Genomic DNA, 16,802 nt, shown 5'->3' with positions numbered 1-16,802 from the left:
GCCAGGGTAGAAAGGAGAATTACCCTACACTCTGTCCTGGTGCCTTCACTGTTTGAAAGAAGTAGGAAAGGCTTTGGTGTAGACCAGGAGATGCTGGCTGGCTTGACATTCTGTCTGATCAGTTTATCTCTTAAATCAAGCTAAGCAGCAGGCAAGCATTTTTCATAAATATTTTTTAAAATAGATGAATAGAAAGAAAAGGTAAACTTCATCGTGAGCATGTCTACTTTTTTATTTTCAATAAGAGGACCTCCAAGTCTGATAAAAACCATCTAAATATTTCTTAGAAATACAGAATCTGTATGTCCAAACAAACTTACCAAATTAAACTTTCAGTGGTAGAGGGGGATGTATTTTAAACAAAAGTCTCAAATGCTTCTTACTATCAAGCTTGTTTGAAAAACATTAACCTAACGAATACTAAACACTGGAGTAAGACAAGTTCTTCTACTTTATAGATGTGCAATGTGGATTCAGGGGATGACACTTCAACTTTACATAATGGTGTATTTTTACCTCCAGATCACGTAACCTTTCTCACCCTTGTTTTCCAAAATAAAAAGGATAATGAATGTTCTAGTAGATTAAAAAATAATTGACACAAACACACACACCCAAAGTCAAAACAACAAATTAAACAATAAAAAATGGCCTTAACACATTCTTTCATGTTTAACAAGGCATGCAAAAATGAATGTCAGGTAAAGTGTAATCTGTCTCTTAAAGCTTTCTATTTTCTCCCTAGGAAGGAGAGACTTATAAGTAAGGACCTGTAATCAAAGTAGGCCAAAAAAATCTCTGATATTTAAAAAGGAGTTTGAAAATTTTAAAGTCCTTTTTCTCTCTTGATAAAGCCTGACTCTCAAGAATATCATCAGTAGGAAGTATTGGGAATTGGAAAAATGAGCCTCAGACTGCAACCCAGATCCCAGAAACGGCAGCCGAGGTGATGAGGAGGCTTCAAACCAAAGTACTCCCGAGGGTGTCCTGCAACTCTTCAGAATGGGCCTGCCATAGTAACCAGCTGTGTTTAGTCACCGACTTCAAACAGGCTGCAGACAACAATATCTTGTAAAAGTAGAGAGGTATATTTGATTCCTGTTGCTACCATAACAAATTACAACAAATTTGATGGTTTAAGAAACACAAATTATTTTAGAATTCCGTGGGTCAGAAGTCTGTCCGGGCCTGACTGGCCTAAATTAGGGTGTTGTCAGGGCTACATTCCTGCCTGGATGTTCCTTGTTAATTCAAGTGGAATTAGATTCCTTGCAGCTAGAGGGCCAAAATCCCCCTTTTCTTAGTGGCTGTAAGCTGAGGGCCGTTCCCAACTTCTAGAGGTGGCAGTATTCCTTGGCTCCTGGCCCGATCCTTGATCCTCGGCTTCTCCATCTGGAAAGCCAGAGACAGAATATTGAGTCTTCTCACATAGCATCTCTCTAACCTTTCCATCTTTGCGTCTCTTGCTCCCAGCCAGAAAAAAAGTTCACCATAGTCAATGACTCATGTGATTTATTGGGCTTACCTGCTTAATCCAGGCTAATCTGTCCATCTGAAGGTCCCTACCCTTATTTTGCTGTAACAGAAAAAATAGTAACAAGACAATTAAGATAGTTTATTAATATTGTAATAGCCTGTTTATTGTAGTTATTTCATATCTGGACAGTTCAGTAGAATCTAGAGGTAGAAATAGATACAAATGCACATGGCTATTCAATTTGTAAAAATTGCAGTAATATTAAACTAGCGAGGATAGAAAGGCTACTCAATAAGTGATGTGAGACATTAAGATAATTCAAAAAAGATAATATTTAATTTAGTTCTTACAAAAATTAATTACAGAAAAATCACAGATTGAAAACTAAAAATGCCTATAACCAAAAAAGATCTAGAAGAATGTATAGCTAGATAAAATTAAAATATTTCACTGGGAAAGGTTATCATATCAGGTAACAAAACTCATGAGAAGAAAAAAATGACAAAAAAATTAACACAAAATGAAGGCAAACAATTCATCAATGAATGGGACTCATTGAATTAACTAAGGATCATCTATTGAATGAAAATAGAGCTTTATATTTTAATATGAAAAGTTTCTAACATATTTGGAGTGAGAGTCAAATGCAGTATATATGCATAATATAATTAAATACAATGTAGGTATCATTTAGTCACAAATGTTCAAAGTTTATTCATTGCTTTGGTTTTATTATGCAACTTGTGTAAAAGTGTCTTCATATGTCTCTGGTACACATCAGTGGAAATAGTGGCAACCAAAATGTTGTTTCCAGTATGTCTTAATGGTCTGAGTGTATTGTTTATGATACTAAGGATATTGCCACTGGACCTGTGGAGACTAGTCCTAACCTGCTCTCTTATGAGACATAGACCTTGCAATTTAATGTTGTTAAAGCAATGTACCGCTGAGCTTTATTTGGGAGGCTGAGGTGGGTGGATCACGAGGTCAGGAGTTCGAGACCACTCTGACCAACATGGTGAAACCTGTCTCTACTAAAAATACAAAAATTAGCTGGGCATGGTGGCGTGCACCTGTAATCCCAGCTACTCGGAAGGCTGAGGCAGGAGGATCGCTTGAACCCGGGAGTTGGAGGTTGCAGTGAGCCGAGATCATGCCATTGCACTCCAGCCTGGGTGACAGACCGAGACTCCATCTCAAAGAAAAAAAAAAAAAGAAAAAGCAACGCACCCTCAGGGTTGCTCATCTTTTTATTTGAAGGGTGTGATAGATGACAAGGATGTTTCTCATTATTCAGCCTGGTTAAATAAACATTATAGGACCTATACTCATTCTTATATAGACATGTCCATTACATTTATAACTAATATTGAGCAAGTGTATCCACAGCAAAGCAAGCTAGTTGAACAATACAAAATAAACTCTTCACTTTCAAGACCACTAAACTGTAAATGAACCAACATTGTAAACTTACCTTGGGGAAATGACTTTTATTTAGCCTTCGTGTTGCTTTGTTTACCTGTCAGTATAATAAAGAGTAAATTAAAAAGTGGCAATGTTTAATACCATCCTAGCACAGAACAATGTAATACATATTTGCCTGCACACAGATTGACGAGTTAGGTGACTTGCCACAAAGCTAAAGAAAGTAAATTAATTGGTCTTATTGATGTCTTTCCTTCTTTCCACATCAGAAATGCCACGTGTGTCTGACATATGTGTCAGTTTCTTTATTTTGTAGGAAATAAATCTTGCCTTTTTAATCTACCAGATGTCAATCAAAGTTGTTTTATTTATTTTTAAATCATTCAATGGAAAAATAATCCACAATTCTCTTTCATTTGCCAGACCTTCTAGTGTCTATGTTTCTAAATGTGGAGGTTATCTCTTAAAGGAAAAAGATAGCCATTCAAAGAAAGTGTGTTTTAAAAATCACAGTGGTCAGAGAGAACTTGAGGGTGTTATAGGGTTCCTCCTCTTTATCCTTGCAGATACCTGAAGTCAAGGTATAAGCACAGGCCCTAATGCAGGGATCAGCAAATGGTAGCCCACTGGACAAATCCAGCCCAGTGCCTGCCTTTGTGTAATCCAGGAGTACAGAATGGATTTCATATGTTTTAGTGCTTGAAAAACATTTTGTAATATATGAAAATAATATAAAATTCAAATTTCAGTTTTCCTAAATAAAGTGTTATTGGAACAAAACCCATTTGTTGATATATTATCTAGGCAACTTTCCTACCAGCAAAGCAGAATTGAATAGTTGCTCAATCTAAGATATTTACGATCTGGATATTTGCAGAAAATATTAACCAGCCCCTGCTTTATGGTCACAAATCTCTCAGGCGACCACAAACTGCTTCCTTTTTGGCTTCCTTATTCTTTTAAATCACTTTCCTTTTTACTCAATCTTATAGCATATTGTCTTGGTTTCTGTCTATACTGTACTTGCTATGTGTGTGATAAGTTAAATGAAGACTGTAAAGCACGGGACAAACAAGGGTGCTCCGGTGTGTTAAGTTTCTGTTCTTTAATCACTCCCTCTGTCTACTCTGTCGTCCCAACTATAACACCAGAGAATTCAACATACACTTGTGGAGCTCATTCTAGCAACATTCTCTGGTGTTTTTAACTACCGATCTTGCTCCTTTTCTTACTATCTTCAAAGTATTGGCCGGGTGCGGTGGATCACTCCTGTAATCCCAGCACTTTGGGAGGCCAAGGCAGGTGGATCACGAGGTCAGGAGATCGAGACCATCCTGGGTAACACTGTGAAACCCCATCTCTTCTAAATATACAAAAAATTAGCCAGGCGTGGTGGTGGGCGCCTGTAGTCCCAGCTACTCGGGAGGCTGAGGCAGGAGAATGGCGTGACCTGGGAGGTGGAGCTTGCAGTGAGCCAAGATTGCACCACTGCTCTCCAGCCTGGGCGACATAGAGAGACTCCGTCTCAAAAACAAAACAAAACAAAACAAAAAGTATTAAAGATTCATTTGAGCAAGTAATAAAACCTGTCAATTCTTTCAACCCTGCAGGCTACAATTGACTATATGTTATCTGATCTTTTCTTCTTGGAAACAGTTGTGTTATTTATACTCTGATAAGACTCAGTCACAAACACATGTTTCTTCAAGGCAGTCTCTTTCCCCTAGGCACAGATCTTCTCAGATTTCAGAGGTCTAAAACCTAGAATATAAAATTGAAAGTAGTGGGGGGAAACTGTGCTTGTGATAAACTGTTAGAGAGAGAGGAAAAAAAAAAGTTGACTTTTTTTCCCCTAACTTAAAACCTCCAGATACAGTAATTCTAATCAAGACTTTGTTTTTTTCTGTTTTATCCATATGCCAATTATCATAAAATTGGTAGAAAATTCTATTAGCCCATTTTCTTGACAATAAAAATGGATTTAATTTTATATTGACATAGTGCATCTTTCAAAGCTATGAATATATTTTTAAAGTACTTATTTGCTTTTTAAGATATGATTTTTTCTAATTATATTTTTCTATGTGTGTGTGGAGGAGGGGAGCATTTTTAGAAAAGAGAAAATATTTTCTAATTTTCTTACTATTTTCAATTGAAATCCAGGCTGTATCCGTAAAACCAAACACCAAGTAATAATACATAGCTTTCCCTGTAATCCTGTTTGCCTTTAAAGGGATGTTAATTTTCAGAATCCCTGCAGATTGATATTGAGCACAGATGTGCACAGCAGTAAGCGCACAATATGCAGGCATGTACCTTATCTTCCAAAGTAGCAGTTGAAAATGGCACTCAACCTAATTAGCTCTCAAAAATGATTTAGAAGGACAAGAATTAGGAAGAGAGTCAGAGTTAGATAATGATACTAAATTTTGAAATAGAAATGCGTCTTTAGCAGAAAGTCATTTAAAAAATTCATATGAGGGGATAAGAATAATAACATAATCATTTAGGGTCAACCACTACTGTGATTCCATAAGCCTCAATTTTAAGTCTACAATTAGGTACAACCCTGCATGAAAAGGCCTTCCTTTGAACCATCTAACCCTACGTAGCTTGTATATTTCACCAGTGCATTCCCTACCTCTGATCTTGACCTCAACCTGTTTTGTTCCAGCTTCTTTTAGTGCCTCCAGTTTTCATGGCCATTGATTTACTCATAGATCCTTACTTCTGCCTCCATCTTCTCTTAATGCTCCATCTTTACTCTAGGCAATGCATTTTCATTGAAAATTTTGCATAGGGCTTCCTTGTGTGGATTGGGCCTTTGAGGCAGTTCCTGGGAGATATGATGTTATCTCCTTAGAAATGCCTGAGCAAATAATAATAATGATGACAAAGTTGGTGATGGTCTGCTTTCAGGAATGCCTGAAGATGGACCATTTTCTCTGGACATCCTGGACTTTTTGTTGTTTGTGGCTCTCATTTTGTTTTTAATATCAGGGCTTTCCAGAAAAGCTTCTTTGAGACAGTATCTGACGTTGTTTCTGAAGGAACAATTCCCTAAAGGCTTTAAAATAGAATAAAGATTGGAGGAAAAGTCAACAAACTGCCGCCTCCATCCCACTTACATTTGGTGAAAATATCCTCTACATCGCGTGTGCATAGATACGCAAAGACCGATGTTATTTAAATATCTGTTTATAAAAACAAAGTGTGTAATCTAAATTTCTAAGAATTCTAGCATGTAGTAATTAATTTATTCAAGAACTCCTGATTTAGAATATTGTACACTTTGATAAACATATGTACTTTTATTCTTTACCATATAGAGAAAAAACAGAACATTTTTATTTTCACATGTAATCTAAATAGATCGAAAGAGGTTGTTCAGACAGGATAAAGTTCTCTCCATTCAACATATTATTTAACCTTCTCTTCAGAATATTGCTCTATATATTTAGAAGTATAGACCCCTTTTCCAAACTTGAAAAATGCCTGACATTGGATGACAACCTAGGTTTGAGTTCTGGCTCTGTTGCTTACTCACTGGGTGGTCATGGACAATTTATCTAACATAACCCCATCTATCCCTGTGTGATATGTGGATGATATTACTGTGAAAGGCTACGGCTGTGGTGTGGATTAAAGTGAGATAATGTTGGCTAAGCGTGTTGTAAAGTAGACAATAAAAATCACTTCCCTTCTTCTGCCTTTCCACTGAAAAAGTTTTATTCCAACCATCTCTTTAGTTCAATTCCTGAAACTTGGGTCACCTCTGATCTTCTTTCCAGTTATCCCCAAGTATATGCTTTCTGCTTCTTGCTATTTAAACCACCCATAAATTTGTAGCTCCAGATGACTTGTATTTTGTGATGAATCACAGATTGATTTCCACTATCAAAAAGTAGTCCTCACCTTTCCTTCTTGCTATTATTTTTCCTCTCTGCAAAAGGTTGCCCTCAAGCAAGAAGAATTTCGCTCTTCCCATAAAAACACAAGTCTGAGGCTTCTCTCAGAGACACTTATTTTACCAGAATCATATTATTCAGTCATGAAAGAACATTTTCTCATATTTGTCTTAAATCAAACTTCTGCCCTCTATAGAACTTAACAGAATTTATATTTTGCATAACAGAATTTATGCAAAATGCATAATCTGCATAAAATTATATATTTAAACATTATAATAGAATAAATAATAAATAAAATCTTTGTTACTCTGTGTCATGACCAATTGTTAATTTCATAAGCGAGCATATTTTTTTCTCACCAATCAAATTCACTTGATCTGATTATTCAGTGATGTTCCCATCAATCTGATAATAACACACACATTGTAGGAGACATAGGAGGAGGTTTATTAAATATAGTACAATTTTTGTAATAATTGTTTTTCTAATTGCATCCCTTATAAAATAATCTTTCTGAACTTGTCTGAAAATATCTGGATGTACAGATATCCATATTTTAAAATTATTTCATCCAACTTCCTGATGGGCACAAACAGAGTTGTTGCTGAAAGTTGTGTCTTCCAGCTGATGGCTTGGGAATCTCTGCATTGGAATTTCAACCAGAAACCCAGGGTTACACTGGCTGCCACTCAAACAGAGAAGCCAAAAATCAGTTTGCTTCCATCTGGGTAGGTAGAACTTTAGCCTGTCATTTCTGAAACATATTAATAACCAAGAAGAGATCTTCCCTGCAAACTTCTAGAGGGAAGTATTGAGGAAAATTCTAAAGTAAAGTGGTGATAGTCTGTGAAACTTTATAATCTCCCATAAGGCAAAGGGGAAACTGTGCCCTCCCAAAGCATCTTCACATCTCTCAGCATTTCCAGCTCTCCTTTCAGAGACCCTCAAGCCTAAGGGAAGTTATGAATCAGAAGTCATGTTTCCCTTCTGTTGTTTAAAATAAGTCACAGCACTTTGTTTTCTTAACAAAAAGCTGGGGTTCACAAGGTATATTAACTTGGACAAAAGACAGTTTTATTCAGTTTCTTCCTAAATGTAAAAAAATGTTGGTTTACCTAAGGAAAGGATGTGTGACCTCATAATTACTTTCCCACTCGCACATCTAATATGAAAAAATATATTTAAAATGAGATATTCTGAGTCGATTGGCTACATTAGAGTGCTCCATGTCTTGTCTTTTACCCTGGGGCTCAGATAGAGAAAACATTCTTGCTCATAGACACCCATCAAGTCTGAAGTACAGGGATGTGATTTGTCTTCAGAAACAGAGCTTACCTTCCACCATCTTGACTTTACCAATTACGTATTTCTGCCCAAGACACCCTGGCTATATCATATCTCTGTAAGGCATTTGTTCCATTTATCAAATCATAGATTCCTCAAATATTAGGACCAGGGAGCCAGATAAAATATTTCTAAATCTTCAGGAAATATGGTAATTAAATGGGCAAAGAGAATTGATTCCTTATCTTGCTGGAGATTACTTCCAGAGTAGAGCAATCTAATGCTTCTCTTAATCTTCTAGTTCCTCCATCCTATTTGATAATGTATCTGTAGCATTGTATCTATCTGGAAAAATTTATACTTTAAGTGGTTGGATAGTGTCACCTCCTTTTGACAATTCATGCATGTATTTATTTAATATTTGATGAGTGCTGACTATGTATTTGTCAGGCACTGAAGCCACAGAAGTAAACAAGATGGGCATAGTCTTAGAACCATCGCTGTGTTCACGGCATCTATTGTAACCTGTTCTCTTCTTCTAAATTTCCTAGCTGCTCCAGCTCTTCTCTGATTATGATTACTTGCTTTTTTTTGTCCATCTATGCTCTCATACCTGCACTTTTGCTCTGTTGTAGCTCTTCAAGGACTGACTTGATTCCTGCCTTGGAAACCATCAGCACCAGACCACAGATGGAAACAGATCACCCAAGCTCAGCTCACAGCTCAGGTTTCCCAGTCCCTGGAACCCTCCTCAGCAGCAGTGAAATCTCCAGGCTTCCAACTGGAATCAAAGAGGTCTGTGGCAGAGTTGAGGATATGGGCCCTTCTTTGTGCAGTTGAGGACCAGAGTCTCCCAATAGCCTGTTCTTGCTTCTACTGCAGGATTCAGTCCTGAAGTTCCTGTGAAAAAGAATCACATGATGCCTGCAATGACCCCTTACCTTGTTTTCAGGCCTCAGAAAAGATTCAGCACAGGATATTGGCACTATTGTGTGGGATCTCAAACATGACAATTATCCTTTTTTAATCTTTTTTAGTGTTATTGCTTCAATTAGTTTGCAACTAATATTCATTTCCAGATGCTTTATTTGCTGAGACTCACTGTGGATGTTCAAAAAATTGCAAAGGGTCACAAAAACAAAAGTTATAAAAATTATGACTCCTTTATTCAACCAGATGCCATACTTCCCAGGTAATTGGCTGGCAAATTAGTGCTAACGAATTCTGAAAGCAACACTAGTGAGAACAGCCTCCCACTGCCATCACTACCTCCACAAGACACACACACACACACACACACACACACACACACACAGGAATCACAATTCAACAAACAATTATTAAAAATAACAATCAAACACATATAACATGTATATGGCAATTATTACATGCCACTCACTATTCTAAGCAATAACTTATTGAATTATCACTACATCTCTGTGAGGTAAGTATTGTCTGTTACATATATGAGGAAGCTGAGGCACTTCAAGTTTGAGCAACTTGTCCCAACTTCCATAGGAAGTAAATATCGGATTCACATCTAAACCCAGGGTGTCTGATTTAAAAGCCTGTTGTCAAAATGGCTTCTCATTACTGCTTCTTATAAGATTATTAAAAGAATATGATTCATCAACCCCTGCATTTATATCATTCTAAACAAAGACATATGGAGCATCCATTCTTGTCTGTCACTATGCCAGTTGCTAGTTATAAAAGGAAAATAAGAGACTTTCTCTGCCTTTAAGATATTCAGGGTCTAATAGGCTATATATATATGTGTTTATATATACAGATATTTGCACTATAGTAAAGGTTATAATAGATCATAAAAGCCCACAGAGTGGCAGTGATAACTAAGTCCATGTTCACAACATAAAGGATACTCTGTGAGAACAAAAGGACATTTAATATCCCCCATCTTTCTGAAGGTTGCCACAGTGGATTGGAAGGAGCAAGAGTTTGTAATAGACGGAACCATATGAAACCGATGCTTTGAAGGTTAAAAACTTTTGAATATTGGCAATTTCATTTGGTTAAACCTAATATTTATGCAAATATCTTCTTTAAATTTGACACTGTTATTTATTAGCAGAGTCTTTTCCTTCTTGGGTTTTAATTTTATTATTTCTTAAGAGAAAATAACAATATTTTATCATTTTTACAGTGAGCTTAACATTTCAAAAGGACTGGGCAAGGCTGAGAAGTTTCCACGTCACAGTCACGTTATGCATATGCAATAAGTTTTATAATACTTTAAATAAGGCAGCAATCCTCTGGGCATTTGTAGGTGGTTTCTTACTAGAAAATGATTTGAAAGAAAAAATTGGTTAAATGAAGTCAAAGAGAAAGGAGAGTGTTCTGTTTACTTCTCCATATCCACAGTCATCTCCTCTCAAACAATAACCATTATTGGCATTTATAATTAATCATCAATTGTTCAGTGAGGAACTTATGTGCCATGCATAGATCAGAAGATTTGAAATCTGAGAACTAAGACAACCTCATCAGGCATTTTAAGTCAGAAAATGAATGGCAAAGGTTTTTACAATTTTTAAAAAATATATACTATTTTATATATTTGAGGACTGAGATCCTTTTACTATGGCCTCTTAAAGGGGCCACTTTACTACAATGGGCCTTTCTTTCTTTCCTTGTAAAAGTGATAAAGTAAGACTATGGCCTCTAAAGCCCAGATCAAACTCTCAAACTCTCTCACTCACCTCTAGTATGAAAACAGCCAGTTACAAGCCTCCTTGCTTTTATTCTTGTCTCCCCACATCTATCTGTTCCTTCAGAGCAACCAGAATCATTCCTGTAAAAGTATAACTCAGAAGACATGACGCCACAATTGAGAATTCTCCAATAGTTTATCACTCCCTCATCAATAAAACCCACATTCCCAATGAACAGAATAAAGTTCCATAAGACCTGGACCTGACTACCTCACTGGTGGTTGTTATCAAACTGTGGTTAAAGAAATCAGTGGAAATCTAGATTATGAATAGTTGGATCCTTTCTTCATGATAAGGTATGCATGAAAGATAACATCCTGAAATGTGTTTCCTCAGAGGAGAATTTCAAACTTTAACCAAAGTCAAATCTTATTGTAAAATGATGATGCTGGCACAGGAAGTTAGATCACCTGAAAGGAAGAAAGCAGAGGGAAAGATCATTGTAAGATTTCACTCCTTCCTAATGATGTAAGTGATTGATACCCATTCTCCTCTGTGCTTACCATCATCTTTGTCCTCCCGCAGATTTGCTTTATTTGAGAGTCTTTGGGATTAGAAGGAATGAAGCTATACTTTTGGTATACAGGACATCCTTGCAGATATTAGGAGATGCGTCCCTGGGCAAGGTGATCTCAGTAACATCTGTCTCTTCACTGACACACTGGGATACCATACTTACATATAAGATGAATTTAAATCCTGCCTGTGACTTCAATATAAGAAGATGCTGGTAGCTTGTGACTTCAATATAACAAGATGCTATTATAAACCTCTTGCTCCTTCCACTCCATAGTGAGGAGACACTGGGATGCCTTTTGCTGGGAAAAGGGCAAATGTGATAAACTCAACATTTTCAAAAAGAAATTACAAGATAAGAAATGATAAATTATAAGTGACTTTGTTGACATATCAACCAAACACAACGTGTCAACTTCATTTGACTTCTGATTTGAACCAGTCAAATGAAGAGTGATAGTGTAATGGGGATGGAGAAGATAGAGGAGGGTGGGTGGGGTGGGGATTGTGAGAATTCTTGAGATTTGAATGTTTAATTGATATTTGATTTGTGCTTTTTAAAGTGAACGTCTCTTACCTACTTATAAATACAAGCTATTTACCAATGAAGTTATAAGATGTCTTTGATTTGGCTCAAAGTAGTCCATCTATTTTACAGCACAGGCATGTAGGTATAAAAAATAATAGCTTTGTACTAAGAAATTTTGAAGCAAAGTAATGGATTTGTGGTGTTTCATTATGCCACTTTGTTCTACTTTTGTTTATGTTTAAGCTTCTGTAATTTAAAGAAGGAGTAGTGTAGTAGAAGTGAAGAAGAAACCATGTAATGCAGTAGGGAAGAGTGAGGCCTATGAAAATGGAACCCTGTTTGTGCCCAGCTAGAAATAACTCAACTCGAAATCTGCTTTGAACACGTGTGGCTAAACAACACATGGTGACAGGCTGGATCGTGAAAATGCCCACATGTTCTGGATCTTTAGAATATAGAACATATTTCAAATGCTCACTAGGGCCAAAGAAGGATGTTACTCTGAGAGTTGTTTAAAAGTGTCTTGAGCAAAAGATGGGAGAATTATCAAGATGAGAAATCAAGACAAGGCAGGGTGAATATACAAAGTGGTGAGAAGTGGCAGATATGCAGTCATGTCACCAACCACAGGGCACAGTAAAGGAAGTGAGGAGCAAGATGTGTGGGAATGAGGCAAACTCACTTAGCTCACTAATTCCAAAACCTCTGGGCTTTCTTGGAGCCTGGAACTTCCTATGCTGGTGGGGTTGATCCTTGGCCACCATGCCATTTGGACTGATGGCCATAATTAGACTGCTTCAATGCGATGACTCCTTCCCTTGAGAATGAATGGTGGATTGTATACTCTAATCTTTTCAGCTGCAAAACTGAGTGCCATTCTGCAAATGCTGATTATCTGCATTGCTAAATGGATGTACTACACCGAGATAAGCCTAAGAGATCATCAGCAGATGGAGAACTTCAATACACAGTTCCTTTGAGGGAGGCAGGGAAAATAAAATTTAGTGAGAAACCGTCTTGGGATTCAATTTTTGATGGTTTAGTGATATTATTTGTGTTTTATTAAAAGTCACCTTTCTCTCGGTCCATCCACTGAGGTAATTGAAAGGTCAGGAGTTTGGAGGTCACTGGGCATTTTCTTGACAATAGTTTTTCGGGCAGTTGGACCAAAGAGTCCTGCTGCTACAAAGAGTAAAATAAAGAATCTGAGACTTTCGACAAGACAGATTCTAATAGCTATTAAGTTAGGTTTGAACAATCTGAGCACATTTCATCTTGGAAAGAGTGTTGAGAAGAATAGAAATTTTGCTATTTGCATTCCCCTGAATATAGTAAGCTAAAATAAATTCTAATGCTAAAATTAACTTTTTATTTTTTTACCCATAGAGAAAGAAGTGCAAAGCTTCTCTCACTCATATCTTCCCCCAAGCAAACAAGTATATATAAAAATACTGATAAAATTGAGGTATTAAAATACAATATATTTCTAAGAAATGAAAATATGATCAGAAAATACATCCTACTTCAGAGATAAACTTTATAATGAGTGATATTAAATGAAAATGCAAGAGTTTTCAGAACGAAAAAGTACAAAGAAAAACACATTTAAAAATAAACAGACCTATATCTACCACACAGAAAGAATCACTTCTGGACTGTTGTTTTTTCTTAAAAAGCATTGTTAAATCTGTGAATATTAATGCTGGTCAATCATGAAAAGTTAATTTAGGTCATGTGATAAGCTATGGTGACATCATTTATTTCCCCTTTTCCATCTACTTCAGGCCTGCATTAAAGTGTGCGGGGTTTGGGGTTTGGAGAATAAATTTTGGAGACACAAATGTTAGTAACAGGATTTGAAGTATGATGCAGATGTTTACTGAAAAGTGACTCAAGTGCCTAAGGGAACAGTCATTTGGAGAGAAGGATGGGCTGTGTCTGCTGATGCTGACAGAACCTAAAACTCTTACAAGCATGTTGTCAAAACACAGGCCAGCACCAGAACCAAACGAAACAGGTGGGGCTGGCTCAGCTTCTTCTTAAAAGCCATATTGGGCTGGTCATGGTGGGTCAAGCCTGTAATCTCAGCACTTTGGGAGGCTGAGGCAGGAGGATCACTTAAGGCTAGGAGTTCAAGACCAGCCTAGGAAACATAGTGCGATTCTTATTTTTTTTTTTTTTACTTTACTCTAAGTTCTGGGATACATGTGCAGAATGTGCAGGTTTGTTACATAGATATACATATGCCATGGTGGTTTGCTGCACCTATCAACCTGTCATCTAGGTTTTAAGCCCCACATGCATTAGATATTTCTCCTAATCCTCTCCCTCCCCTTTTCCTCCACGCCCCAACAGGACCCGGTGTGTGTTGTTCCCCTCCCTGTGTCCATGTGTTCTCATTGTTCAAATCCCACTTATGAGTGAGAACATGCAGTGTTTGGTTTTCTGTTCCTTTGTTTGCTGAGAGTGATGGCCTCCAGCTTCATCCATGTCCCTGCAAAAGACATGAACTCATTCTTTTTTACGGCTGTATAGTATTCCGTGGTGTATATGTGCCCCATTTTCTTTATCCAGTCTGTCATTGATGGACATTTGAATTGGTTCCAAGTCTTTGCTATAAACATACGTGTGCATGTGTCTTTACAGTAGAATTGGCGGCGGGGGGCCAAGATGGCCAAATAGAAACAGTTCCGGTCTGCAGCTTCCAACGAGACCAATACAGAAGTCCGGTGATTTCTGAGATCCTATTTCTACTAAAAAATAAGGGGTAAAATTAAGTGCTGTGCTCACAGAGGCTGAATTTTAGCAGGCTGACTACACTTGCTGCTTTGTCCATAGCAGGCTGTTTTATGCCTGTTGTCATGTCATAAGTTTAAAAATTGCCTCTTTTCTCAATTTCTAAATGCCTGAATTTGGTAAAACCAGTTGTATTGTTCTGATCTTCTGGAGCCTTTCTTCTTCTTTTAAAAATATGTTTTATGTTTATTAGAAACTTAAAAAAATGGGATGGAGGGGCATTTGAGAAGTTTAAAGTGGGTTTTTTTGTAAGAAAGAGTTTTTAGACAAATAGATCTTGCTAATGTCACCCATAAAATTACAGTGAATATTAAACATTTGACCAAAGCTGTACGTTTGTATTAAAATAAATATGTGCATAAAATACACAAATAAAATATTGAAGAGCTATGTAATTAGTTGAATACTGCACTGAAAAATAGAAATGTTGTATGGGTACTCAAAGTATGGCTTCTACTAAATGTGCACCAATCTCACACCATTGTAACGTGAAAAAATCATAAGTTTAACCTTCATTAGTCAGAGACCATTTGTATTATATTACATTACATATTTAATATACACACATCTGTATATAAATGTATAAACACACACATACAGCTATGCCCATACACTTTACAAGTGGTAAGTGGCCAACACTTACTACTTTTACTGTAGAATTTTTAACCAAACTGCTATGGAAGTGACTATTCAGTGAAAAAACTAATCACAGGATTTAAATAATGAAAAAATTTCATATAATGGAGTAAAAGTGAACTATTTTCTTCAAAAATAGGCATATAGAAGCCTTTCCACACAACACATAGAGAAGAAAGCACTTTCTGGATAATTTTAGGTAGAAAAAGTAGGTATGTTTGTAAAATTATGAGAAAAATATAATTTCAGCCTTCTCAGTTTTGTACAGTTTAAAAAAAGGTGAAGGAAGAGATGGCTAGTGCAATTTTAAAACTGTAAATAAAGATTCTATATAGTGATTAAATTTGGAGGAGCTGCAAAATTATTGAGAATATGCTGAAATTTTTATTTCAGTAATGCTTCAAAGACATTACTGGCTCAATGTGAATTGTGTGTGATCTAAAACAACAACAATATCAGTGTTGAATACAGAACTAGGAATTGAGCAAATAGATTTGTAATCAAAAGATTTGGCCTGGTGAGTGGCCCACACTTGTAATCCCAGCACTTTGGGAGGCAGAGGCAGGTGGATCGCTTGAGCCCAGGAGTTCAAGACCAGCTTGGGCAACATGGTGAAACGCTGTCTCTACCAAAAAATAAAAAAATTATCTGGGCGTAGTGGTATGCACGTATAGTCCCAGCCACTTGGGCGGATGAGGTGGGAGGATCACTTGAACCCGGAATGTTGAGGCTGCAGTAAGCTGAGATGGTGCTACTGCACTCCAGCCTGGGCAACAGAGTGAGAACTTGTCTGAAAAATAAAAAAAATAAATAAATAAACTAAACTAAACTAAAATAAAATAAAATAAAAATATTTGTCTGTGCTATAGTATGGTGAAAACCATTGTGATGATAGTTGTAATGTCAATAAGGTATGTGACTATGCATGTACACACATCTATATATGAGTAAACACATATACACAGTATGGAGGGGGATCTGTGTATGCCGATATAGAACGCATTTTGTCTAAAACTGACGTGGTGTTCCTTCATGATCCTTTATTTGATGATAAAAATGGAAATTTACTTAGTCTAATTTGGTTCAAAACTGTGTCCAAACCAATATTGTAAATAATCCCTTTAGGCACTTTTTCAGTCTCATCAATTCTGCCCTCATCTGTATGTCCGCAGTGTGGCATCACACTGTTTGGAGGATGAAGGGCTCCTGTGAACTTGTGGTATGGAGTGACAGAGTCCTTGAATTTTTTCTTTGTTTTGGGGGTCCTTGCCAGTCCTTGCTGAGGTGGGACTGATCTAGCATTCTTCTGGTTATGGTGGATCCCACGATTTAGCATTCTGCTAATGTCTGTGCTAACGTTGTGGCTAAAGTATTCCTGACCATCCTTTGTCTGCTGTAGCCATGGCCAAGTACCTCTCGCTGCAGAAATGCTCCCTACTCTCTTGCGTGTACCCTCAGAATCTCTGCAAACCTCCCTTTGTTCCCCTGGCCCAGAT

At 37.0% G+C, this 16,802-nt stretch overlaps 1 long non-coding RNA gene across 1 annotated transcript; it reads right to left on the bottom strand.

The window, feature by feature from the left end:
• Positions 1–211: 211 nt before the first annotated feature.
• On the bottom strand, positions 212–13,230 carry LOC105373595 (uncharacterized). The gene is made up of 7 exons (XR_923292.3): positions 12,948–13,230; positions 11,333–11,647; positions 10,818–11,239; positions 8,711–8,997; positions 2,952–2,996; positions 1,526–1,576; positions 212–1,392 (listed from the first exon to the last, which is right to left on the bottom strand). It is a non-coding gene; the product is annotated as an uncharacterized LOC105373595 (long non-coding RNA).
• Positions 13,231–16,802: the final 3,572 nt, after the last annotated feature.

Source organism: Homo sapiens, chromosome 2, assembly GCF_000001405.40.
Source record: "Homo sapiens chromosome 2, GRCh38.p14 Primary Assembly".
Taxonomy (NCBI): Eukaryota; Metazoa; Chordata; class Mammalia; order Primates; family Hominidae; genus Homo; species Homo sapiens.
This window is presented reverse-complemented; position numbering and strand designations above follow the sequence as displayed.